The sequence below is a fragment of the Homo sapiens genome, chromosome 15 (assembly GCF_000001405.40).
Source record: "Homo sapiens chromosome 15, GRCh38.p14 Primary Assembly".
Classification (NCBI taxonomy): Eukaryota; Metazoa; Chordata; class Mammalia; order Primates; family Hominidae; genus Homo; species Homo sapiens.
The window spans coordinates 34,082,297-34,109,217 of record NC_000015.10 but is presented as its reverse complement, the minus strand read 5'-3'; the positions used below and the strand labels follow the sequence as shown (position 1 = coordinate 34,109,217).

General features: G+C 40.8%; 2 protein-coding genes and 1 pseudogene across 2 annotated transcripts, besides 4 other annotated features; 2 read left to right on the top strand and 1 right to left on the bottom strand.

The window, feature by feature from the left end:
- Nucleotides 1-531: 531 nt before the first annotated feature.
- Nucleotides 532-7,135, bottom strand: PGBD4 (piggyBac transposable element derived 4). Its single transcript, NM_152595.5, has one exon. It carries the CDS (start codon nt 6,684-6,686, stop codon nt 4,929-4,931), a length of 1,758 nt encoding a protein of 585 aa, NP_689808.2. The 5' UTR covers nt 6,687-7,135; the 3' UTR covers nt 532-4,928.
- Nucleotides 6,926-7,015: an enhancer, noted in NCBI's record as "active region_9174". NCBI's record gives its function as "activates an Ori minimal core promoter by ATAC-STARR-seq in GM12878 lymphoblastoid cells {active_cell/tissue: GM12878}" and the evidence as "EXISTENCE:reporter gene assay evidence [ECO:0000049][PMID:35858748]".
- Nucleotides 7,046-7,745: an enhancer, noted in NCBI's record as "active region_9173". NCBI's record gives its function as "activates an Ori minimal core promoter by ATAC-STARR-seq in GM12878 lymphoblastoid cells {active_cell/tissue: GM12878}" and the evidence as "EXISTENCE:reporter gene assay evidence [ECO:0000049][PMID:35858748]".
- Nucleotides 7,046-8,212: a biological region, named in NCBI's record as "H3K27ac hESC enhancer GRCh37_chr15:34393207-34394064".
- Nucleotides 7,355-8,212: an enhancer, noted in NCBI's record as "H3K27ac hESC enhancer chr15:34393207-34394064 (GRCh37/hg19 assembly coordinates)". NCBI's record gives its function as "activates a minimal SCP1, AML or CMV promoter by ChIP-STARR-seq in naive H9 embryonic stem cells {active_cell/tissue: H9 hESC(naive)}" and the evidence as "EXISTENCE:reporter gene assay evidence [ECO:0000049][PMID:30033119]".
- Nucleotides 7,356-25,201, top strand: EMC7 (ER membrane protein complex subunit 7). The gene is made up of 5 exons (NM_020154.3): nt 7,356-7,614; nt 13,204-13,323; nt 18,763-18,901; nt 21,085-21,165; nt 24,732-25,201. Exons 1-5 carry the CDS (start codon nt 7,379-7,381, stop codon nt 24,882-24,884), a joined length of 729 nt encoding a protein of 242 aa, NP_064539.1. The 5' UTR covers nt 7,356-7,378; the 3' UTR covers nt 24,885-25,201.
- On the top strand, nt 22,852-23,360 carry RPL32P2 (ribosomal protein L32 pseudogene 2; annotated as a pseudogene).
- Nucleotides 25,202-26,921: the final 1,720 nt, after the last annotated feature.

Genomic DNA, 26,921 nt, shown 5'->3' with positions numbered 1-26,921 from the left:
GAGACTTCAGTTACTGTTCACTGCTGGTCCTCATCCACCTTTTGTCCCACTGCAAAGTAAACTTCCCAGCTCCTACCTGGGGAAATATGACGAGCACTGATTACTTGTTAGTCAAACTGAACAAGTGTCAAGGCCGGGCATGGTGGCTCATGCCTGTAATCCCAGCACTTTGGAAGTCCAAGGCGGGCGAATCACCAGAGGTCAGGAGTTCGAGATTAGCCTGGCCAACGTGGCAAAACCCTGTCTCTACTAAAAACACAAAAAGAAGCCAGGCATGGTGGTGCGCGTCTGTAGTCCCAGCTACTCGGGAGGCTGAGGCAAGAGAATTGCTTGAACCGGGAGGTGGAGGTTGCAGTGACCTGAGATCACGCCGTTGCAGTGAGCTAAGATCACGCCATTGCACTCCCGCCTGGGTGACAGAGTGAGACTCTGCCTCAAAAAAAAAAAAAAAAAAAAAACTGAACAAGTGTCTAAGATACCACCAGCAAAGAAGGGTCACCAAACATATACAGAAAAAAAAAATCAGGAAACTTGGGATGAAGCTGTTTTTATTTCAGCATATTTCTAAATTTTGCAATTTTTGAAATCATTTTTGAAAAGTAAAATTTTATTAATAGTTTAGAAAGTGTAATGGTCAGAGGGCTGTAGCACATTATAATCCTTTGTCCCATTCCATTATTTCTCAAATAATCTTTTTACTACGGTTTCAACAATGCTTACTTCTGCTCTGGTTGGGACTGAAACAAAGGCCTCAGGGCTCAGCTCAACATGTACTGATTTTAAAATCAGCACTTTGTATTTCAAAATCAGGATTTTGAGGCTTTTATCCTTCATGATAACTATCCTTGGCTGAACACATGGCTTTATTCCTCTTTAGCTGCTCTCCATTAATCCTACAATACAACTTAGATTTAATTCACCATATGGCAGAAGATGGATTAAAAAACCAAGAAGAGGCCCAGCGTGGTGGCTCACGCCTGTCATCCCAGCACTTTGGGAGGCCAAGGCAGGCGGATTACCTGAGGTCAGGAGTTTGAGACCAGCCTGGCCAACATGGTGAAACTCCGTCTCTACTAAAAGTACAAAAATTAGCCAGGCGTGGTGGCACACATCTGTAATCCTAGCTACTCAGGAGGCTGAGGCAGGAGAATTGCTTGAGCCTGGGAGACAGAGGTTGCAGTGAGCCAATATCGTGCCACTGCACTCCAGCCTGGCTGACAGAGCAAGACTCTGTCTCAAAACAAACAAGCAAGAAGAGCCAGGCATGGTGGCTCACGCCTGTAATTCCAGCACTTTGGGAGGCCGAGGCAGGTGGATCACCTGAGGTTAGGAGTTCGAGGTCAGCCTAGCCAACATGGTGAAACCCTGTCTCTACTAAAAATACAAAAATTAACTGGGTGTGGTGGCAGGTGCCTGTAATCCCAGCTACTCGGGAGGGTGAGACAGGAGAATCGTTTGAACCTGGGAGGCGGAGGTTACAGTGAGCCGAGATCACGCCACTGCACTCCAGCCTGGGCAACAAAGAGTGAAACTCTGTCTCAAAAAACAAACAAACAAACAAAAACTGAGATATCACTTTTAATTTATTTGCTTGGCAAAAATAACATTTGATAGCTCATTGTTGGTGAGGGTATGAAGAAGCAAGTTATCTTACACATTGCTGGTGAGAGTGAAAGTTGCAACAACTTCTGTGGAAGAAGATTTCACAATATCATCAAAATTACAAAGGCACATACTCTTTGATCTAGCAATTCTACTTTCTACTAGTACTAATTACGCTACATATATACACCTGTGGAAATCACATGGCAAAAGAAATTCACTTCAGCAAAATTAGGAATAGTAAAATAGGACACAATCTTAATGTTGCTCGATAGAGAATCAGTCCATCCATAAGCTGGAACATTTTGCAGCCATAAAAAGGAACTATGAAGCTTTTTATGTACGAATAAAGGATGATTTCCAAGATATATTTAGTAAAAAGAGCAAAGTGCGGAAGTGCATTTATAGTATACTTTGGAAATATGTATGTAAAACAGTACACATTATAGTTATATATAATCATATGTTAGGTAATACATTATTATATATTAGTGTATTTTATATTAAACAATTTATTTCTAGAATGTTATTTGTATATAAGTTAAATAAATATATATTTTGCCCCTTTTTTCACACAACTGGTAGCATACTATATATATACATATATATGTATATATGGATTTGTTTTTTTGTCTTTTTTTTTTTTTTTTTTTTTTTTAGAGACAGGGTCTGGCTATGTTGCCCAGGATGGAGTGCAATGGCTATTCACAGGCCTGCTATCATAGCACACTACAGCTTCAAATTCCTGGCCCTCCTGGCCTCAAGTGATCCTCCTGCTTCAACCTTCTGAGTAGCTGGGACTACAGGCATGCCACTGTGCCTGGCCTTATTTTTAATGTATATATTTTTCTGTAGATAGTTGACTATCTGTGGAAGAATACTCAGGAAAATGGCAACAGTGATTGCCTCTTGAGAATTGGGTGACTAGGGAGAGAAGTAGGTGGGAGATTTTTTTTGTATACTCATACCTTTTGAATATTGTACCATGTGCCTTTTGAATATTGTACCATGTGCCTTTTGAATATTGTACCATGTGACAAAGTCTATCAGATAAAGACCACCAAGGAACACACCTGCGGTCAAGTTAAGTTTATGAGCTTGCTGCTGTAAGGAAGACCCCACACCAGAGAAACCAAGGATATAACAGTAAGAGGGAACAGAAGGAAACTTTTTTATTTTTTGAGATGGAGTCTCACTCTGTCGCCAGGGCTGGAGTGCAGTGGTGCGATCTTGGCTCACTGCAACCTCTGCCTCCCGGGTTCAAGTGATTCTCCTGTCTCAGCCTCCCAAGTAGCTGGGATTACAGGCACCCACCACTATGCCCAGCTAATTTTTTTTTGTATTTTTAGTAGAGACAGGGTTTCACCATGTTGGCCAGGCTAGTCTCAAACTCCTGACCTTGTGATTCGCCCATCTCGGCCTTCCAAAGTGCTGGGATTACAGGCGTGAGCCACTGTGCCCGGCCCAGAAAGGAACTTTTACAAGATTTGGGCTTCTGTTGAATGATTGAGGAGAGTCTAGGGAAGCAAGGATTGGCTCTTGATTGGGTATCTCAGCAGTCTGTTCAGAGGCACGAGGAACAAAGCGAAGTCATTGGTAAGAAAGTGGTAATCACTGAAAAGAAGAAGGTTGTTAGGCATTTTGCAGGTGTGGTGTGGCCTTGGGAAGAAGTTTTCTGATGGCCTTGCCACTGGCCCTGTCTGTATCTAGTTGGTACATTACAGTCTGATTAAAATCAGCACTGATCTTTCCTTTCTCAGTCCTGAACTGACTTTTACTTTCTGACACTTGAATGTCTTATCTATTCAAAAACTAAGGCATATTTTAAAGTAAAAAGAATGAAAATAAACCTTCTCCACACACTTCTTGAGCCTAGATTACCAGTTCCCTAGCAAATAAGAAATTTATTTGGCAGACAAGAAAGTCAAGTGTGTGTGTGTGTGTGTGTGTTTCTGAGCAATGCTGCTCCTTCCGATGATCAAATATGAAGAAGTAACTATCTTCAGAAAAAAGATGAAGGCAAGTACCCCAGTACTGCAGTAGCTGATGCCAGGGAGACTGGAGTATAGGGGTGGCTCTGGGCATCATGTCCCCATCCCCTGCCAGGGCTGAGTACTTGGCTCTTGAATCTCTTTTTTCAATTGCTGTTACTCTTTCCCATGATGCTGACTCTAAGAGTGCACAAGGCTAAAACATGCATTGCTCTCAATAGGAATCTGTAGCAGAGACAGCGATGTTTAGGGCCAACAAAGATCTTGGGCAAGTCACTTCACTTTCCACCATAAAGAAAATGAAAGGACTGGAGCAAATGATGCCTGAAATCTTGGCTAAGGCCTCAGCAATCAACATTGGCAGCAATCAACCCCTGCCCTCCTCCCCAATACAACCTTGTTATGTTCACAGTAAAACAATCACAACAGGAAGAATAGTGTAGCATCAGATAAATTGTCTTCCAATCCTTTTCACTAGAGGCAACCCTTAGTTAACAGTTATGTGTTTTTCCAGCTATTTTTGTTCAGAGACAGTATCTCCTTCCCATTTTCCATTTAGGAAAAAAAAAAGTGTAGCTCGCTGCCTGCACTCATTTAGTTTTACATAAACACCCTCTTTGAGGCTGAAGCAAATCTGACTGATTTTCAATGTGAAAATAAAATATAAAAACTGTTCTTGGTGCTAGGCGCAGTGGCTCATGCCTATAATCCCAGGACTTTGTGAGGCCCAGATAGGCGGATCACCTGAGGTCGGGAGGTCAAGACTAGCCTGACCAACATGGATAAACCCAGTCTCTACTAAAAATGCAAAATTAGGTGGGTGTGGTGGCACATGCCTGTAATCCCAGCTACTAGGGAGGCTGAGGCACGAGAATCGCTTGAACCTGGGAGGTGGAGGTTACAGTGAGCCAATATCATGCCATTGCACTCCAGCCTGGGCAACAAGAGTGAAACTCCGTCTCAAAACAAAACAAAACAAAACAAAAACAACAAAACTGTTCTTGGAGTTATTTCTTTTTTTTGAGATGGAGTCTCGCTATGTCACCCAGGCTGGAGTGCAGTGGTGTGATCTCAGCTCACTGCAACCTCCGCCTCATGGGTTCAAGCAATTCTCCTGCCTCAGCCTCCCAAGTAGCTTGGATTACAGGCATGTGCCACCACATCCAGCTAATTGTTGTATTTTTAGTAGAGACAGGGTTTCACCATGTTGGCCAGGCTGGTCTTGAATTCCTGATCTCAGGTGATCCACCCAGGTCGGCCTCCCAATCTTGGAGTTATTTCTAAACAGAACTTGTCTCTAATCCTAATGGAACAGATGTGTATGATGATCGGTATTTAATAATTTTTTTTCGTGTGGTAAATTTCAAAGCACGGAACAACACAAAGCGGAACATCACATTCGGCACAAAAATAGCGCGTTTCTTTCCGGATCTTCTTGCCATCCTTGTCGTATTGGGAGCAGCAAATTTTGCAGCGACCAGTTGGATTCTGTTTCCCGGACGTTGCTGGTATGCTCTTGGGGAAATGTCTTCCAGACAGACGAAGAGGTGTGACATCATCGGAGCAAGGACGACCTCGAAGATGTTGCTGCCCTGGCTTGTGATGCTTTTCCAGCATTCTTTCAATCAATGCCAGTCTGAAGTTTATATGGCTCATCGTGTGCTCAGGATTATCCTTCTTGAACAGGATGTAGGAGTTCAGCACTGTAATGTGTAGAAGATGGTGAAAGAATTTCTTATACCAAACCTTGTGTCTTTTGCGCTCAGATGGATAAGAAGTAAGCATTTGATCAGCCGAGTCCACTGCTCCCATATTCTCGTTATAATCCACAATGACACGTGGCCTTTTAGTTTTCTTTCCATTTCTATTGTTTACTTCAATCACAGTATCATTGTGGAATGTTGACAACATTGTCACCTCCTTGCCGTCACACCATTTCAGTGCCATAAGTTCACCACAGAATCTGGCTACAGTCGTCCCCTTTGCAATCCTTTTTTTCAGATCATTTGGAATCTGTTTTCTGTTCAAACGAGCTGTCCCAACTGCATCAGTCCTATTTTGATGTAATTCTCTGAAAAGCATGGGAGATATATTAAAGTTATCGAGGAAGACACAATACCCTTGGCCAAGAAGGTCATTGACCAAGGTAAGAACAATGCGTGATGATTTCAGGCCATCCGCTGAATCTTTCAAATTCATGCCAGGCCCTGTGTGAACAAGCGCATTCCACACATAACCAGACTGACTTTCACAAAGTACATATAGCTTCAGACCAAATCGTACTCGTTTTGTCGGGAGGTACTGCTTCATAGCTAATGGCCCCTTGAACAGCATCAGTGATTCATCAACTGCAATGTTTCTGTTTGGAGTATATACAGTGGAAAATTTATTTACAAGAAAGTCGAACACAGGTTTGATCTTCTGCAATGAAATCTGGGCCTTTGATTGACCAGCAGATATAGAAGAATTGTTGACAAAATGCAGGCACCGAAACAAAAGTAAAAATCTTTCACCAGTCATAATTTGCCTGAGATAAGGTGTATCCAAAAGAGGCCTTGTTGACCAAAACATCTCCAGCTCAGGTTTCTGCACAATACCTTGCAGTAACATTACTGCAAAAAAGACTTTGAGCTCGTCATTGTCAGTGTCTTTCCATTTATCCATTCGCGAAAATCCTTTCGGACCCGGTGGCTTTGAAGCCAACAAGGCAGCTTGGGCATTTGTTTCTCTAGTAATTTTTGAAACTAATTCCTCAGTAAAGAACAGTTCAAAATACTGCAATGGGTCAGTGATATCACTGACATCGACTTTTCTGCCAGGTGTGCCGGTAAAGTCATACCTTTGACGTGGAATCATAGCACGAGCTGACCATTTCATGGAGCGCCCTGAGTCACTTGATGTAGAGCTCTTTCCATCAGATTCTAAATGGGACAGAGGCCTGATCTTATCGGCTTCTAAAGCACTATCCGAAAAATTATCAGAATCATCTATTTCCGAAAAATCAGATTCATCAAATGAATCTTCAGCCAACAACTGTTCGAGACCGGTATTACTATCACGCATAGGAATGCTACGTTTTCTAGGATTTGACATTTCAGCGATCGAGAATTACTATATTTTGTAGATGGAAATCCCACTACTAAAAACAGAATGCTATAAACAGAATGATGTCTTTTGTTTCAAAAGTCAATATACCAGAACCATGCGAAAATAACAGAAGCGAGATATTTCGTGGCAAACTTTGGGAGTAAGGTTGGCACTGTAATCCACGAGTTATCTCGGCGTAAACGCTGCAGTCGCAGGCACAGCAGCGCGTAATCTCGGGGCTAAGGAGAAATGAGTTAAACGCACACAGACAGAAGAAGCCTTTCATCTCATACGTCTTGGGGAGTCTCTAGAAGTTTTTTGAAAGGTCTCTTCTGGATGGTGTTTCTCCCGAAGCCAGTCTCGTCATCTTTTACTCCCGTGAGGTCCTTGGCCTCCGTGGCTGCCGCAGCAACACACACTTGACTTTCACTTCATGGGCAGTCCCCTTCATAGGCACTTGACACAGGCTCTGTGCGCCGTCTTCCAATCCAGAGTGCCGGGAGTTAAGGGCAGTACTTCCGCCTTACTTCCGCCTCGCTAGTCGATCGGCCATGATCTCTTCCCTCTGGTTGGATCCCACAGCTTATGACAGAAACGGGCGCGCAGTGATGACAACATCAAGCCGCCAGCGGCGGCGGTGGCGGCCGGGAGACTGGGAGGGCTTCCGGGGCTGCCGGTCTGAGTGCAGAGCTGCTGTCATGGCGGCCGCTCTGTGGGGCTTCTTTCCCGTCCTGCTGCTGCTGCTGCTATCGGGGGATGTCCAGAGCTCGGAGGTGCCCGGGGCTGCTGCTGAGGGATCGGGAGGGAGTGGGGTCGGCATAGGAGATCGCTTCAAGATTGAGGGGCGTGCAGTTGTTCCAGGGGTGAAGCCTCAGGACTGGATCTCGGCGGCCCGAGTGCTGGTAGACGGAGAAGAGCACGTCGGTTTCCTTAAGTGAGCATCCTGAGGGCAGCGGGAAAAAGGCTGGGATGGAGGCCGGACAGGGACCCCACCAGGAGAGTTAAGTGTCAGGACGGGACAACGTCGCTGTCTCAGACTGAAGGGGAGGGTGCCGCTAACGGTCTATGCCGGGAGACCTTGGGAGGCAGTCGGATGCTTTCCCTTTCCTGGTCCTGTACCTCTGGAATGAGCATGGCAGGCGCTCACCCCCTGCCATGGTCAGAGCATGGAGTCAGTTATTTCCAACCTTATTTTGGCCCCATGTGGGGACGATCATTCCTGGGCCCTGGGGACAGGTGGACCCTTATTAGTCTCTTGTTGGATTCTTTTATATCTCATCTGGTTTCCCTAGAACCTAGTCGTTTTTTGCATTCACTTCAGTCTTTTGGTAGCTTGTTATTATGTAGAAAGATGCGACACAAGTGGGAATTCTCAAAACCCAAAGGGCTTCTAGTGACGACATAGACTGGGAGGCTAATGTTACTGCTTCTAAAATTAATAGGCTCTGAAATCCCTAATCAAAGCACTTTTTTTTTCTTTTTTTTTTTGCTTGGGGGTGGGATCGTTGTTCTTTTTTACAGTTGAATTCATCGAGAGATTTGCTATATCACACTTGTCATTTATGTGAGACTAGGGTTCCTCTACATTGCTTTCTTGCTTCTGTCCTTTCATGCTATTAGTGGAAGTGGGTTTTCTGTCTATATTAAAAGACAGGATGAATTTGTTAGCACTAGTTTTGCAGCAGCCTGCTTTTGAAATGTCTAGGCACGCGTATGTTGTTTTAAATCTTTCCACCCTTACTTGGAGGTGAAACTGTAAACTGAAAGCAAATAATTAGGAAGTATTTCCTTTGGTGGGTTCGTACACCAGCAAATGGTATCTGAAAATCAGACAACTTAAATGTAGACATTTAAATCCAAATCTGATTTACATATTTGTTCAGATCATCTAAGTGCCCTTGAGTGGTTATTCAACCTCAGATTAATAAATAGTGACAAATTTACAACCAGTATTTTACTGCTGTCTGTCATTAAGAATCTGGCATTAGGGCATTCGTTAGAGTTTACCCTAATTAATGATGTTTTAATGATAAAGTTCTCATTAAGCTTTAGGAATAAGCCTTAATTGACCATTTGGCCACTCTTCTGTATACAGTTCTTTTAAAAAGCATTTAATTTCTGTTTAAAAATAGTATATTAGAAACAAAGTAGGAAAACAACCCTTAATGTTTCATTGTATCTTTCTTTTTATTTTTTTGAGACAAGGTCTTTTTCTGTTACTCAGCCTGGAGTGCAGTGGCGAGATCATAGTTCATGGCAGCTTCGAACTTCTGTACTCAAGTGATCCTCCTGTCTCAGCCTCCTCAGTAGATAGGACTACAGGCGGACACCATCATGTCCAGCTAATTTTTTAATTTTTTGTAGAGACAGGGTCTTGCTATGTTGCCCAGTGTGGTCTCAAACTCCTGGCCTCAAGTGATATTTCTGCCTCAGCCTGTCACATTTTTGGGATTATAGGCGTGAGCCACGGTGCCTACCATTTTTCCAGCTTCTTTTGGAATCATATGACTTAGGTTTTTACTAGTAAAATACAACATGTAGTAGTTTGTATCCTGCCTTTTTCACTTAATATTTTTGAACAGCTTTTGATACCATTTCATGTTCTTTATTTGTATGTAGAAAGGTTGATGGAGAATTTCCAGGCGCGGTGGCTCATACCTGTAATCTTACTTTGGGAGGCTGAGGTGGAAGGATCGCTTGAGCCCAGGAGTTTCAGACCAGCTGGGGCAACATAGTGGGACCCCATTTCTACAAAAAATAAATAATTAGCCAGGAGTGGTGGTGTGCACCTGTAGTCCAAGCTACTCAGGAGGCTGAGGTGGGAGGATCACTTGAGCCGAGGCGGTTGAGGCTGTAGTGAGCTGTGATCATGCCATTGCGTTCCAGCCTGGGCTACAGAGCAAAACCCCGTCTCTCAGGAAAAAAAGAAACATTGATGGAGAATTAATATGAGGAGTTTATGGTGATAATCTTATTGGAAAAGGGGTAGGTAATTTGTATTGTAGCTGTTTTGCATAACTAGCACACAGTTTTGACTTACATTTGTGCTTATTGGAGGTGGCTTAGGACTTAGTTAATGGAGATAAAGGGAATTGGGCCTGAAGACTCCTCATGCCATTTCTTGCTATCATCACAATGTATATAAGCCATAATTTATTTAACCAGTCCTCTGTTTTTGGACAGGTGGTTTTCATGTGTTTTTGTTTGTTTGTTTGTTTACATAGTAATATTATATTCTATACTTTTTTGCACTTTTTATTATAGAAATTTTCAAACATTTATAGAATGGCATTCTACTGTTTTGTTTCATGTCTTTTGTGTACCTCATTAATTTTTTTCTGAAATATTTTTAAATGGTTCTAAGCATAATAGGATTTTACTTGTAAAAGCATTATTATGTATCTCCAAAAAATAAGGACTTAAACAAAAACCACATTACCATTATTGATTCAACAAAATAATCATGCCTTAATATCATCTAACAGTCCCATTTTTATGTTTCCTCAGTTTTCTCAAAAATATTTTTTATATAATTGTTCTTTCAAATCAGGATCCAATAAGGCCTACATTTTGTAGAGTACATTTTTAAGGATGAATTTTAAATTTTGTATTGCAAACTTTATGTTATTTTTCTCAAGTAAAATATTTACCTTAGGATGATAAATATATTTGCTTTTTCTTTAATTATTTCTGATATTATTTGTGTTCCACTGTCATCAGTTTGTTTTTTTCTGGATCTGAAAAAATGTTTTGAAATTGGTTGAGTCAGGGCTGGGTACGGTGGCTCATACCTGTAATCCTAGCACTTTGGGAGGCCGAGGCAGGCGGATCACCAGAGGTCAGGAGTTCGAGACCAGCCTGGCCAACATGGAAAAACCCCATCTCTACTAAAAATACAAAAAAAAAAAAAAAAAATCAGCCAGGCATACTGGCGGTAGTCTGTAATCCCAGCTACTAGGGAGGCTGAGGCGGGAGAATCACTTAAACCCAGGAGGCGGAGGTTGCAGTGAGCAGAGATCACCTCACTGCACTCCATCCTGGGTGACAGAGTGAGACTCTGTCTCAAAAAAAAAAAAAAAAGAAAGAAAGAAATTGGTTCAGTCAGGGTCCCATTAAGAAGTAGAAGATGCACTCAAATTAGAGTAATTCAAGGATAATTTAATGAAGGCATCAAACAGTGTAGTCATGGTGTTGGGAAACAGCCAGATTGTGCAGTACCCTGGAGCTTACATCCTCAAGGTTATTATCACCACCTCTAATCCTGAAGGAAGAGGAGAGTAGAGGTTACTGGAACCTTGAAGGGAAGAAAGGCCTGCATTGAAAGACACAAACCAGTCCCTTAACACAGCCAGTCAGAGGTGGCCTGTCAGTGAGAGGTCTGGGGGGAAAATAGACTAAGCTCATTTTCTTTCCTTCCTCCAGTCTGCAAAGAGGAGAAAGGTAGAGAGTGGATCTAGAGGGCAAATGGAACATGTCCAGGCCAGGCATAAGTTAACTTTTTTACATTTCAATTCTGGCTTAGTGTGCTCTGGAGTGACACTTTTTCATCTTACTTTTTTTTTTTTTTTTGAGACGGAGTCTCGATCTGTCACCCAGGCTGGAGTGCAATGGCACAATCTCGGCTCATTGCAACTTCCGCCTCCCAGGTTCAAGTGATTCTCCTGCCCCAGCCTCCTGAGTAGCTGGGACTACACGCGCATGCCACCACACCCAGCTAATTTTTGTATTTTTAGTAGAGACAGGGTTTCACCGTATTAGTCAGGATGGTCTCGTCATCTTGCTTTTTAGTAACTGTTGTGGATATCATCAGTATCAGTTATTCCTTTAACTATGAAAGAGCCTATGAGGATTTAAGAAGCATTATTTTAATATATTATTATGATATCGGGAATTCTCTGATACAGTTGGTCATTTTAGAACCATTTGTTTTCCTGAAACATAAACTTTTTTTCCCCCCTCAGAATAGTAGTTTCTCATTTTTCAAACAAATTAATTTTGATCTGTGAAATGAAATTATCAGCTCTTGATAGGATGGTTTTCTAAGTCTAGGAAGTTTAGAAGAAATCAGTAAGGAAAAGATGGATGTTTTTAACTACATAAACATTTTAAGCTTCTAGTAACCAAAGTAAATGGGAATTATTTATAGCAAATAGAACAAATGGTACTTAAATACCTTTTATTATTTGTTAAAAAGAACAGAAAACCGGCCAGGCGCAGTGGCTCACGCCTGTAATCCCAGCACTTTGGGAGGCCGAGGCGGGCGGATCACGAGGTCAGGAGATTGAGACCATTCTGGCTAACACGGTGAAACCCCGTCTCTACTAAAAATACAAAAAATTAACCGGGCGTGATGGAGGGCGCCTGTAGTCCCAGCTACTCGGGAGACTGAGGAAGGAGAATGGCGTGAACGCAGGAGGCGGAGCTTGCAGTGAGCCGAGATAGGGCCACTGCACTCCAGCCTGGGCAACAGAGTGAGACTCCGTCTCAAAAAAAAAAAAGAAGAAGAACAGAAAACCAAAAATTGCAAGTTAAAACTAGAACAAAATGCCTTTTTTTTTTTTTGTTGGAGATGGAGTTTTTGCTCTGGTTGCCCAGGCTGGACAGCTCACTGCAACCTCTGCCTCCCGGGTTAAAGCAATTCTCCTATCTCAGTCTCCCGAGTAGCTGGGATTACAGGCATGCGCCACCACGCCTGGCTAATTTTGTATTTTTAGTAGAGATGGGGTTTCTCCATGTTGGTCAGGCTGGTCTCTAACTCCCAACCTCAGGTGATCTGTCTGCCTCGGCCTCCCAAAGTGCTGGGATTACAGGCGGCAGCCACCACGCCTGGCCTGCCATTTTTAACAGTAAGAAGTTGTTGGGGGTGACTGGCAAAATTGGAACCCTAATATTTTAATAATAATGTATATTCAATGAAGACATGGCTTTAGAATGGGAATTGTGTTTCTGTCACCTGTCATCTCTACCCATAGAAGGAAAATAATTACTTTCTATGTCAGGCTTCTCTGCTACCCTGGAGTGGTCTTGGGTATTTTCAGAACCTATTCAGTGTAATTATAGACACTGAAGGCCGGCACAGTGGCTCATGCCTGTAATCCCAGCACTTTGGGAGGCTGAGACGGGTGGATTACCCGAGGTCAGGAGTTCGAGACCAGCCTGGCCAACATGGTGAAACCCCGTCTCTACTAAAAATACAAAAATTAGCTGGGCATGATGGGGCACGCCTGTAATCCCAGCTACTCGGGAGGCTGAGGCAGGAGAATCGCTCGAACCCAGGAGGCGGAAGTTGCAGCGAGCTGAGATCGTGCCATTGCACTCCACCCTGAGCGTCGCAGCGAGACTCCGTCTCAAAAGAAAAAAGAAAAGAAACTGAAGCATAGGACAACTTTCGCCAAGGTTTTGTTTGTTTGTTTGCCCGTTGCTTTTAATGTCATTTTTCGGGAGAGTTGATTTGGGAATTAGCAAGTAAGAAAAGACTAAGCTGTTGATCAGTAGTAGCTAAACATGATTTTCATTTTTCCAGGACAGATGGGAGTTTTGTGGTTCATGATATACCTTCTGGATCTTATGTAGTGGAAGTTGTATCTCCAGCTTACAGATTTGATCCCGTTCGAGTGGATATCACTTCGAAAGGAAAAATGAGGTGAGGGCACCTGATTTAATTTTTGCCAAAAGCTAGGCTACTGAATACCTTAGTATATATTCCTTTTAGAATTAATAGTTTAGATGGAAAATTCTTTTTATTTAAACTACAGCTATTCCTTAAAACACTTAAAATATCCTCGTTTATTTAATCTGAACATTGAAAAAATTGTAAAGTTGAGCTTCTTGCTCTGGCTTAAAATTTATTTTAAAGCTCCTAATATGATTACATAAAGAAAAGGTAAGATTACTTACTATAGGAGCTAAAGTGCTATGAAAGTTATAATTGAAATATGATTATTAAGTTGGAAATAATTTAACTTTTCTAAATTAGAAATACTATTCATCACCTGTTTTTCACTGGGATATTTTGATAATACCTCTTATTACCTATTTGATACTTCATTGATCTGGAAATTTCTGTGGTCCTTTCTTTATGGAATCTTTTATGTTCAATGGAAATATAGTATTTCTAGGGAAAACAATTGAGGTGAAAAGAACTATAGTCTAATTTAGACTGTGAGTGTGGAATAGCAAAACCTATTTGAAGTTGAAACATTTGTATAGTATCTATAGTCTTCAGAGTCAGCTTCCCATTATAATAGAACACATTTATTTATTTATTTTGTTGTCTCATGGCAATAGCATCCTCTTTGGTCAAATCTGACCAGGAAATATATGAAGCAACTCCTAAGTGGTAATGTCTCTTCTTTAAGCTATCAAATATGACTATGTTGCAGTAATAAAGCACAGGTCATGCAAAGGCAAAAACAATTTCTGGAGGTGGAGGACTAATAAATAATTTTACTACTGATCTTTTTGGTGTCTGCGCAGCATATTTAGACTGACTTGTAGAGACTCAAAATTGAGCTGACACATGTTCAGTTAGTACCATACTATTTACATTTGAGTTAGTGTTTACTCCTAAAATTTGTAATTTGTTTCTTCTTTCTTTGCTTTCTTTGACATTGAAAGTTTTAAAAATGTAATATGTAAATATGCCATAATTCAAATAGAATGAGTCACACATGGAGTTGTCCCATCCTTTATCTTAGCTGCGTGTTAGTCCATTGGTGGATTTGACATCATTTATATAACCGGCTCCTATTGATAGACAAGCAGTGATTTCTTTCTCTTCTTTTAGCATGTATACTAAACAGAGACAGTTATCAAGAGAATATTCTTTTTTTTTTTGAGACAAAGTCTTGCTCTGTTGCCCAAGCTAGAGTGCAGTGGCGCAATCTTGGCTCATTGCATCCTCTGCCTCCCAGGTTCAAGGGATTCTCGTACCTCAGCCTCCCAAGTAGTTGGGATTACAGCTGCACGCCACCATGCCTGTCTGATTTTTTGTTTGTTTGTTTGAGATGGAGTCTCGCTCTGTCACCCAGGCTAGAATGCAGTGGTGTGATTTCGGCTCACTGCAACCTCTGCCTCCTGGGTTCAAGCAATTCTTCTGCCTCAGCCTCCTAAGTAGCTGGGACTACAGGCACCTACCACCAACGCCCGGCTAATTTTTGTATTTTTAGTAGAGACGGGATTTCACCATATTGGCCAGGCTGGTCTCGAACTCCTGACCTTGTGATCTGCCCGCCTCCCAAAGTCCTGGGATTACAGGTGTGAGCCACGGCACCTGGCTTGATTTTTTTATTTTTTTGTAGAGATGGGGTTTCGCCATGTTGGCCAGGCTGGTCTCAAACTCCTGACCTCAAGTGATCTGCCCACTTTGGCCTCCCAAAGTGCTGGGATTACAGATGTGAGCCACTGCACCTGTCCAAGAGAATATTCTTGATATTATCAGGAAAGTAATACTCTAATGCCACTAATATATTCTTAAAAACAAATTACTTTTCCCCCCTACTTTGTAGAGAGACAAAATCTTGCTATGTTGCCTAGGCTGGAGTGTAGTGGTTTTTCTCAGGTGCAATCATAGCCCGCTACAGCCTCAAATTGACCTTTAGTGATCTTCCCACCTCAGCCTCCTAAGTAGCTGGGATTATAGGCATGACTGTACCACTGCACTCCAGCCTGGGCAACAAAGCAAGATCCTGTCTCAAAAAAAAAAAAAAAAAAAATATATATATATATATATGTGTGTGTGTGTGTGTGTGTGTGTATACATATATGTGTATATGTAAAGTTCTTTTATATTAAATCTGTGCCTTAAAGGACTTATTCATGACTTTTTGTATATTTTAGAATTGTAAGCTTGGAAATGGAGGGGTACGTGGATCACAGTATATGTTATATATACTGCTTTAAACATTTTTTTTATATTGAAAACACAATATTGGACGGAATGAGAGCTGCTACACAAAAGGGAATACTTGTATTTTTTTTTAATCCTTTTTACTCTGGTTAAATTTTGAATAAAATAGTCTTAGCAAATAGGAATATTGTTTTAAATATAGACGGTCCCCAGCTTACAATGGTTCAACTTATAATTTTTTTTTTTTTTTTAATTTGAGACAGTCTCGCTCTGTCACCAGGCTGGAGTGCAGTGGCGTGATCTCGGCTCACTGCAACCTCCGCCTCCCGGGTTCAAGCGATTCCCCTGCCTCAGCCTCCTGAGTAGCTGGGACTACAGGCATGCGCCACCACTCCCAACTAATTTTGCATTTTTAATAGAGGCAGGGTCTCACCATGTTGGCCAGGATGGTTTCGATCTCTTGACATCATGATCCTCCTGCCTCGGCCTCCCAAAGTACTGGGATTACAGGTGTGAGCCACTGTGCCCAGCCCTCAACTTAGAATTTTTTGACTTTACCATGGTGCGAAAGCGATACACAGTAGAAACCATACTTTAAGTACCCATAACAACCATTCTTTTTTTTATGCTTAGTACAGAATTTAGTAAGTTACATGAATTAAATAAGTTTCTTATTATAAAGTGGGCTTTGTATTAGGTGATTTTGCCACTGTTGGCTAATGTAAGTATTCTGAGCACTTTTAAGGTAGGCTAAGCTAGGCTATGTTGTTCTGTGAGTTAGCTGTATTAAATGCATTTTTGACTTACAGTATTTTTCAATCTATAATGGGCTTATTGGAATGTAAATTGAGGAGCAACTGTATAAAGTTTTCATTGCCTTTTTACCTTGAGTAAAGAGTACTTCCTGCTTTAGCACTTATGAACTGGTTGCAGCAGTGGGATTCATGTTCTCAGATACATTCCTGATGATTGGATGTCTGAAGCATAGGTTAAATTAAAAAAAAGAAAAAATTATTTAAAAATTATTTTAATAATTAGGGATGGGGCTGGGCACGGTGGCTCACACCTGTAATCCCAGCACTTTGGGAGGCCGAGGCAGGTGAATCACGAGGTCAGGAGTTCAAGACCAGCCTGACCAACATGATGAACCCCATCTCTACTAAAAATACAAAAATTAGCTGGACATGGTGGCGTGCGCCTGTAATTCCAGCTACTCAGGAGGCTGAGGCAGGAGAATCACTTGAACCCGGGAGGCAAAGGTTGCAGTGAGCCGAGATTGCGCCACTACACTTCAGCCTGGGCTTCAGAGCAATATTTCGTCTCAAAAAAATAAAAAATAATTGGGGGTGTGACAGAGTAGAGAACAAAGTGGGATTCATATAAGATCCTAATTCTTTGTGTGTGTGTGTGTGTGTGTGTGTGTGTGTGACGGAGTCTCACTCTGTCACCCAGGCTGGATTGCAGTGGTGCACCCTCAGCTCACTACAATCTCCACTTCCTGGGTTCGAGTGATTCTCCTGCCTCAGCCTCCCAAGTAGCTGGGATTACAGGCATGTGCCACCATGCCTGGCTAATTTTTGTATTTTTAGTGGAGACAGGTTTTACCATGTTGGCCAGGCTGGTCTCAAACTCCTGACCTCAAATGATCCACCCACCTTGGCCTCCCAAAGTGCTGAGATTACAGGCATTAGCCACTGTGCCCAGCCTTGACCAATATTTTATAAGCATGCAGCATGCATGATAAATTAGTTTTGAATATATGTGGGATTTTCAGTTCTGACATTTTGGCAGAGAAATGCTGGATAAAAATATGACGAACATTTTCTTTTATTAATAAATGCATAGCTCCCCCCACAACAAAGGAAATCCCTAGGGGATAAACTATAAAGCACTTCCCCACCTGGAGATTTTGATATTCTCTAACCCAGAAGGCTTAGATTTAATTAGCAATGTGCAGGGAGGAGGCAAGCCATGGGCTTGCTTGGAGTCAGAATTAGATCTAAAATTTGGTCCTCCCTTTGACCTTTGGTACTAAAATGCAGAAGGCCCTGGATTTTCGGAGGGAAAAGTCTGATGCTGGCCTTTGGGGGAAAAAGTCTCCCCTGAAAACTGATAGTTACGCTCCTACACTCATTACAAGTTGGGGTATGAATTTATTACTTTCTGCATAATCCAGGAACTTCCAAGCTAAGCAATGAACAAAATAGTTTCTGTTTATAATTCCCAAATTCCTGGCAGTAACAAATGCATAATCTCTCTGGAAGGAGATACCCTTTGTATCTCTTTACTTAAATAAAGGTAAATAAAGTCTACTAAACTTACAAAGAACCCAAGAAAACAGTCTACATTGAGTCAGCAAATAAATCAGACCTCTAAGAACTTTAAATAGTAGAATTATTAGATATAGACTGTAAAATAATTTAATGTATATTTAAAGTACTTAAGGAAATAAAAGACTGCCATAGAAATGATATACCAAAATAGGCTATAGATATTTGAAAAAAGAATAGAATAGAATCTCTACAATGAATATAGGCATTGAAATGTACAACTAAATGGATGCATTAAGAAACTGAGCAGAAGTCTGATGAAGTGGGAGACAGATCAGAAAAAAAATTTCCCAACACAGCAATGACAGTGAAATAGGAGAGGCAGTTTTCAAAAAGTAAAATGGATCCTATGTAAACATGGATGAGAATTTTGATTAAAATTAGTGCGTCTTTGGTGAAAAATGTAGCGTTACCTATAGCACTGCTGCAGTGCTTTCTTGCATTATAACATTTTCTGGCAATATAGCCTTAAAAATTGGTTACATCCAATAATGCATTTCTTAGACCATCAAAAAAATAAAATCCAGTATTTTTGTATGGTATAATGAAGTAAATTCATTACTAAATATAATCAAATAACTTTAGCACCAGAAGGATTCTAAAAGAACTTTTGACATAAATAGAAGTTAGGGAACTGATTTAATCCCACAGGTCTAGGTAATGACAGAGCTGCAGCTAGAAGATTCCAAGTCTAGCGTTTTTTTCTCTGTGTTTTGCTGCATATTTTAGACATGTAGATAAAGCTATTTTGGTCAGATTTTCAAGATCAAAAGTTTAGGTTTTAAAGCATTTTGGAAAAAGCTGAAAGTGTGTATAAGGCATTGCTAATATAATATAAGCAGTTCTTTTAACCAGTAATGTTTTTAATGGAATTACTGTTGCTTTCCCCATGTTGCTTTATCAGAGCAAGATATGTGAATTACATCAAAACATCAGAGGTTGTCAGACTGCCCTATCCTCTCCAAATGAAATCTTCAGGTCCACCTTCTTACTTTATTAAAAGGGAATCGTGGGGCTGGACAGACTTTCTAATGAACCCAATGGTATGTATCAGGCTAAAATAAAGCACTTTACTAATACCTAATTTGCTTCTAGGCAGTGGAAACTTCAAACCTCTGTGAGATAGAAAGCTGAGGTCAGATTGGTGGATGAAAGGATAATTGTGAATAATTTGCAGATTTCAGAAGAATAGTGGCTTTGGGAATACATAATGAAGAGAATATAATGAGAATTGCACTGTAGATTTGATTATTGAAATGTGTAATAGAAATTGGATAAATATTTATAGCATGTTTTACATTTCAAATAGAATAAGAATACTCAGTAAGTCAGTCATACCTGGAGCTGTCTCATTCTTCATACTACCTGCGTATTTTTTGTTTGTGGTTTGTTTTGGCTTTTTTTAGACGGGGTTTCGCTCTTGTTGGCCAGGCTGGAGTGCAATGGTGCGATCTCGGCTCACCACAACCTCTGCCTCCCAGGTTCAAGCGATTCTCATGCCTCAGCCTCCCAAGTAGCTGGGATTACAGGCATGTGCCACCACGCCCGGCTAATTTTGTATTTTTAGTAGTGACAGAGTTTCTCCATCTTGGCCAGGCTGGTCTTGAACTCCTGACCTCAGGTGATCTGCCCGCCTCGGCCTCCTAAAGTGCTGGGATTACAGGCGTGAGCCACCGCACCCAGCCATACTGCCTGCATATTATTAGTCCATTGATGAATGTGCCATCATTTATTAACCAGCCCCTATTGATAGCACAAGTAAGGATTTCTTCCTCTTTTTTTAACATGTGTAGTGAAGAGAAAAGTTATTCTATGGTAATTTAAGTAGTTGGCATTATGAACCGATGTTATGATACTCACTAATAATAAAACACTAATAGCATGCATTCTTTAAAAATTTGTTTTTATTTTTAATTATTATAGGTGCCTAATAGATGTACATTTATGAAGTACATATGATGTTTTGATATAGGCATACGATGTGTATTAATCACATCAGGGTAATTGGGATATCCCTCACCTTAAGCATTTATCATGTTTTTATAAATGTTAGGAACATACCAATTCCACTCTTTGATTGTGATTTTAAAATATACAATAAATTATTGTTGACTATCATCAAGAAAACAGTTTTTAGAAACAAATCGACCTTTTCTTTTGCTGTTTTTAAAAATTGAATTGCTGTCTTAGAATTTGTCTAAGTAGGCCAGGCGCGGTGGCTCACGCCTGTAATCCCAGCACTTTGGGAGGCTGAGGTGGGCGGATCACAAGGTCAGGAGTTCGAGACCAGCCTGGCCAACATGGTGAAACCTCATCTCTATCAAAAATATAAAAAGTTAGCTGGGTGTGGTGGCGGGGACCTGTAATCCCAGCTACTTGGGAGGCTGAGGCAGGAGAACTGCTTGAACCAGAGGGGGTGGAGGTTGCAGTGAGCCAAGATTGCACCACCACACTTCAGCCCGGGGAACAGAGCGAGACCGTGTCTCAAAAAATAAAAATAAAAATAAAAGAATTTATCTAAGTTTTGGTCATAATCCTTGCTGATAGCTATTTAGATCACACATGATCTGTTTTCAGAGGCTGTATATCCCCTAGGGAGGAATAAATTAGTACCTAGAATCTGTAATCAGAGATAAAGAGGCGGGGGGAGACTGGATGGAAGAAGTCAGCAGTGAAACTCCAGAGCTTATTCACCTTCCATGTTCTCATTTCTGAAATTCCGTGGAAGTGTATCTAGTGCTCCAGTGCTTGATGCTTCTAGGTCATTTTTCAAAACTGGTCTGCTAAAGTAGGTCAGTTTTCCAAGAACCACAGTCACCTGAAAAGAGCAGTTAGCTTGCCATCAGATCACCAATCCCATTGCCAGACTATAGATTAAAAAAAAAAAAAAAGGGAATAGATAGTTCCATTTGCAAACTATTTGTGTTAAATAACACTGTAACTCTGCAAAAAGATAGGTGGGTGGCACAACTATGAAGTGAGGTGTCTATAAAGTCCAAACATACATACAGAAAACTTTAATATTCTATAATAGTCCACCATAGTCAGACAGACAGCCCCTTGCTATCATCAGAACTGGCTCAGTAGAATTGCGGTGGTTGCTACTAGTGTTATTGTATAGACAACGTTTAAATCTTTAATTTTACCATTGGTTGTTAAGTGCAGTTTTTGTTCTATTAACTGTAAAGTGGGGGAAAAACATTTTCTGGATTTTTTTTTTCTGCAGGTTATGATGATGGTTCTTCCTTTATTGATATTTGTGCTTCTGCCTAAAGTGGTCAACACAAGTGATCCTGACATGAGACGGGTAAGATGATGGTCCAGCTATGGATTTTTTTTTTTTTAAGAGATAGAGCCTCTGTTGCTCAAGCTGGAATGCAGTGGCACAATCAGTTTGAGTGGCCTCAAACTCCTGGGCTCAAGCTATCCACCTGCCTCAGCCTCCCAAAGCACTGGGATTATAGGTCCGAGGCACCATGCCTGGCCCCACCTGTGGGTTTTTGAACCGTATTGTGATGTTTGCTCTGTCCCATCGTAGCTGGGTAGCTTAGTTTTTCTCAATTTTATTCTAGTTCCCAAGCCAAATTAATCTAGAGGTTGTATTAACATAGTATCATGTTTATGGCTTTTAATTAGTTGCTTCCATTAGACTAGATAAATTGTTAGTTCTGCCTGGCCTGGATCTCTTTATGTAGCTAAAACATCTTACTGCATCCTAGCCTCTTTGTGTGCCTTACTTTTTAAATAGCTGAAATGTACAATACTTCTGGTATGCTGAATCTAAATATTTTACAAAGTGATTGTTCCTGTGATCTGCCTTTACTTTACAAAACTCTCTTCAGAGTACATACTCAGTTTATGTGTTCAGACACACAGATAGACCAAGGGGGATGGATAAGTAGAAGAGTGACCTTTGAATTCTGTTCCACAAAACCATACTGGTTCTGCAGAGGGAGAGGATTTGCTAAGTAGGATGCTTCCAATTTAGTGCCACCACATTTTCTCTTTGAATATTGGCTTCTATTTGAACTCTTCATTTTTTCAAAAAACCATCATGCATTTTTCCGTTCAACCATCAACAAGTATCTTCTGAGTTTCAAGGTTCCCCATTTTATTTAGTATATAGATGTGGTGACATTTTATTCATTCCTGAGTAAACATTTATCAATTTCTAGGGTCTAGATACTGGAGATACAGAAATGAATTATAGGCCATACCTGTCATCAGTAGGCTCAGTCCCAGTTAAATGTAGAAAATAGAATGGATTTATCAAATATTCTTCTTGCTATCAGGGGATTTTGTGACTTTTTCTTTTCTTTTTTCTTAATAGAAATTTGTCTTATTTCTTAAAGAAATAAGGTAAATAAAAATGTTTGCTAAGGTAGTAGGTGATTATGTTCTGTGGAAGGTAATAAGGGGTATATTCAAAGCAGGAATGGCAGAAAAAGATTCATAGGAAAAGAAAGGTTTTTGATATTTCAAAATGTTTTATTGGTGAATGTTTGCATTTTTGCTTCAGTGTTAGACTGAAAGTAATACATCCTGTGCATTCCTTGTATATGTTAAGCCAATTAACTGTGGCATCAGTAGAAGGAAACATCAGAAGTCACATTTGATTAAAAGTTCATTCTGGCCGGGCGCGGTGGCGCAGGCCTGTAATCCCAGCACTTTGGGAGGCCAAGGCAGGTGGATCACCTGAGGTCAGGAGTTCACGACCAGCCTGACTAACATGGTGAAACCCCGTCTCTACTAAATACAAAAAAATTAGCCGGGCATGGTGGCGCATGCCTGTAATCTGAGCTACTTGGGAGGCTGAGACAGGAGAATCGCTTGAAACTGGGAGGCAGAGGTTGCAGTGAGCTGAGATCGTGCCATTGCACTCCAGCCTGGGCAATAAGAGCAAAACTCCGTTAAAAAAAAAAAAAGTTCATTCCTTGTGAAGTGCTTTGCACATAGTAAGCATCTTAAAAAGTTGATTCAAGAGCTTCAGAAGCTCTCTTCCTTGGCACTGCCTGCAGAGGTGGCACCATCTCCTACTTGGCATCATGGCTGCCCTCAGATCCTTTGTGAAGCCCAAGATCATCAAAAAGACAACTAAGAGGTTTATCTGGCACCAGTCAGACCAATATGTCAAAATTTAGCTTAACTGGCAGAAACCTAGAGGTGTTGACAACAGTGTTCGTAGAAGATTCAAGGGCCAGATCTTGATCCCCAACATTGGTTATGGGAGCAGCAAAGAAACAAAGTACTTACTACCCAGTGGCTTCTGGAAGTTCCTGGTCTACAACATCAAGGAGCTGGAAGTACTGCTGATCTGCAACAAATGTTACCGTGCTGAGATTACTCACAGTGTTTCCTCCAAGAACCACAAAACCATCTGGAAAGAGCAGCCCAGCTGGCCATCACAGTCACTAGTCCCAATGCCAGGCTCCACAGTGAGGAAAAGGAATCAACGGCTCTCATGCATGTTTTATTTGTGTTTAAATAAAACCACAAAAACTGAAAAAAAAAAAAAAAAAAAAGGGGAGCTTCAGAATTGAACAGATTCAAAAATAGAGTTGATATATGTTTGCAGGGACTCAAGAGCTGTTACCATATACATTTATTTCTTAATTATTGGGGCATGTTAACATACTTGATTTATGTTTACAATATTTCTTTCGCTAGCCTTATTTGTAAAAGCAACTTCTCCTTTAAAATTTAGGAATCAATTCTACCTTTGTGGGAAAAGCTCAAGCTAATATCCCAACAGTGTTCAATTTGAAATGGAAGCCTAGTGCTGTGCTGTGTGCCTATAGTCCCAGCTGCCCAGGAAGCTGAGGCAGGAAGATCACCTGAGCACTGTCTCCTAAAAAAAAAAAGAAAAGAAAAAAATGAAAGAAATGATAGATAATATAGTATTTGCTATCTTTTTCATGTATGAATGAACTAAAGTCAATTTTAAGTTCACTTTGAGAATGTCACTTAAAATTTAAATGAAGCAGATGTTACATTAATATTATATAACTATCAAACAGTACTTTATAGATTTTTGGCTCAATTAAAGGGGAGGACAAATACTCAAAAGTGCCAAGTCCTATCCTGTTTTGCCAATGACTTCTTTGTAACAGTGTGTTGCTTGCTTTAGAGTCTAATTGAAGTCATGCAAGCCATACAGCATTCATAGATTTACTACTGAGGCTTATAAATGAATTCTTAGAAATATTGCACTTATTTTCCAAACTGTACTGATACCTTGATATATAGTTAAAAATTAATATTCTGGTTATATGCATCTAAAGGAAGCATGAACTTAAAAATGTACTCATTAAAACAATAAGAAATCACTTTAATCAGAAAACATAAAATAAGAGAGGAATATGATCAAATATATTCAGTATCAGAAAAAAGTGTTCTTTATTAAGACAAGCAGAATCACACGAAAGGGAACATCACACACAGGGCCTGTTGTGGGGTGGGGGGAGGTGGGAGGGATAGCATTAGAAGATATACCTAATGTTAAATGATGAGTTAATGGGTGCAGCACACCAACATGGCACATGCGTACGTATGTAACAAACCTGCACGTTGTGCACATGTACCCTAAAACTTAAAGTATAATAATAAAAAAAAAAAAAGGCAAGCAGAATCAAACCCTAGGCAGTCATTTATTGGACATTTACTAAGAGTCAAAATGTCTAGTGGTATAAAGGAGATATGGAAAATAGTTACTAATGATATATAGGTGAAGTACTACTGAGTATGATGTTGCATCATTGCTCAGAACCAGTACCTTTCACTTGTTCTACTCCTTTACTTTTTCCTTAATAGGAAGTGTTAGGAGTTAAAAGACTCGAAGGATCCTACATATCATTGTGCCTTGTCTTCTTGCAGGAAATGGAGCAGTCAATGAATATGCTGAATTCCAACCATGAGTTGCCTGATGTTTCTGAGTTCATGACAAGACTCTTCTCTTCAAAATCATCTGGCAAATCTAGCAGCGGCAGCAGTAAAACAGGCAAAAGTGGGGCTGGCAAAAGGAGGTAGTCAGGCCGTCCAGAGCTGGCATTTGCACAAACACGGCAACACTGGGTGGCATCCAAGTCTTGGAAAACCGTGTGAAGCAACTACTATAAACTTGAGTCATCCCGACGTTGATCTCTTACAACTGTGTATGTTAACTTTTTAGCACATGTTTTGTACTTGGTACACGAGAAAACCCAGCTTTCATCTTTTGTCTGTATGAGGTCAATATTGATGTCACTGAATTAATTACAGTGTCCTATAGAAAATGCCATTAATAAATTATATGAACTACTATACATTATGTATATTAATTAAAACATCTTAATCCAGAAATCAAATCATCTTTCTTTTTTTTTACTTAATGTTTCTTTTTTTCTGACAATTTTCTTCAATTATCTGAGGCTTGAAATTTACCTTTCCTCTTTAAAAGGGAGTGGTTGTTATTTTTAGACAGCATGCACATTGTTTTTTATGTGGCCACACCTTTCAAAATTTTCAGCTCTCTGCCATTTAATTCTCTGATAATCTGAGCCATATGTTGCTGATGTAGTTTCAATTTTTTATTATTACAGTTAGTTTCAGAGTATGGATATATGAATCACAATAGATCTTATCAACTATTTTATTCTGGTTACCATCTATGGTATTCGTCTTACAATTATTGAGTACCAGCTTTGTGCTGTGATGCAAGGTAGAATACAGAGATGGATAATATACAAGTGCTTCTCCTTGATAGAACTTATTATGTCGGGAGGGAGGACAAATAATAACAGGGAATGAATGGCCAGGGGAAAGAAGTACAACAGTAGGAGAGCCTTCTAGATCCTGAGGATGGGGAATCAACCTTAGACCTCCATATTGTAACAGAGATATATAACACAGGTAGCTTTTCAGTCCCCTCATCTTTCTCATCATAGATTCTCAGAGGTGTTAGAAGATAAATTACTACTTTCTTTTTTTTTTGAGAGAAGTCTCGCTCTTGTACCCCAGGTTTGAGTGCAATGGCTTTATCTCGACTCACTGCAAACTCCGCCTCCCGGGTTCAAACAATTCTCCTGCCTCTGCCTCCCAAGTAGCTGGGATTAAGGCACTGGCCACCACAGCCAGCTAATTTTTGTATTTTTTAGCAGAGACGGGGTTTCACCATGTTGGCCAGGCTGGTCTCGAACTCCTGACCTCAGATGATCTGCCCGCCTCAGCCTCCCAAAGTGCTGGGATTACAGGCGTGAGCCACCACGCCTGGTCTCTTTTTTTTTTTGAAACAGAGTTTCACCTTTGTTGCCCAAGCTGGAGTGCAAGGGCACGATCTCGGCTCACTGCAACCTCTGCCTCCTGGGTTCAAGCGATTCTTCTGCCTCAGCCTCCCAAGTAGCTGGGATTACAGGCATGTGCCACCATGCCCAGCTAATTTTTGTATTTTTAGTAGAGATGGGGTTTCACCACGTTGGCCAGGCTGGTCTCCAACTCCTGACCTCAGTTGATCTGCCTGCCTCGGTTTCCCAAAGTGCTGGGATTACAGCTGTGAGCCACTGTGCCTGGCCAAATAACTACTTTCCAATCGGGAGTATCTCAAAAGTTTTTTATTTCAATAAGTTACAACATTTTCACACCTTTTCCTTTTGGGTTATTTTAATTAAAGAACTCTCAGGCCACAGTACTGCTTCTAGTAGAGGGTTCCTATTCTTTCCCATATTAAATAACTCCTGTATTGCTTTCTTAAAGTTATTAAATCAGTGAAAAAAACAGAGTAGCTTCCAAACTCAATTTTCTCTTTTGTATTAGGTGCTATTGTTCATTTAAAAATGAGGTACGTGTTTTCTCTTAAAGAAATACGTTCTGGGCCGGGCGCTGTGGCTCACGCCTGTAATCCCAGTACTTTGGGAGGCTGAGGTGGGAGGATCACCTGAGGTCAGGAGTTTGAGACCAGCCTTACCAACATGGTGAAACCCTGTCTCTCCTAAAAATACAAAAAATTAGCCAGGCTTGGTGGCAGGCGCCTGTAATCCCAGCTGCTGGGGAGGCTGAGGCAGGAGAATTGCTTGAACCTGGGGGAGGTGG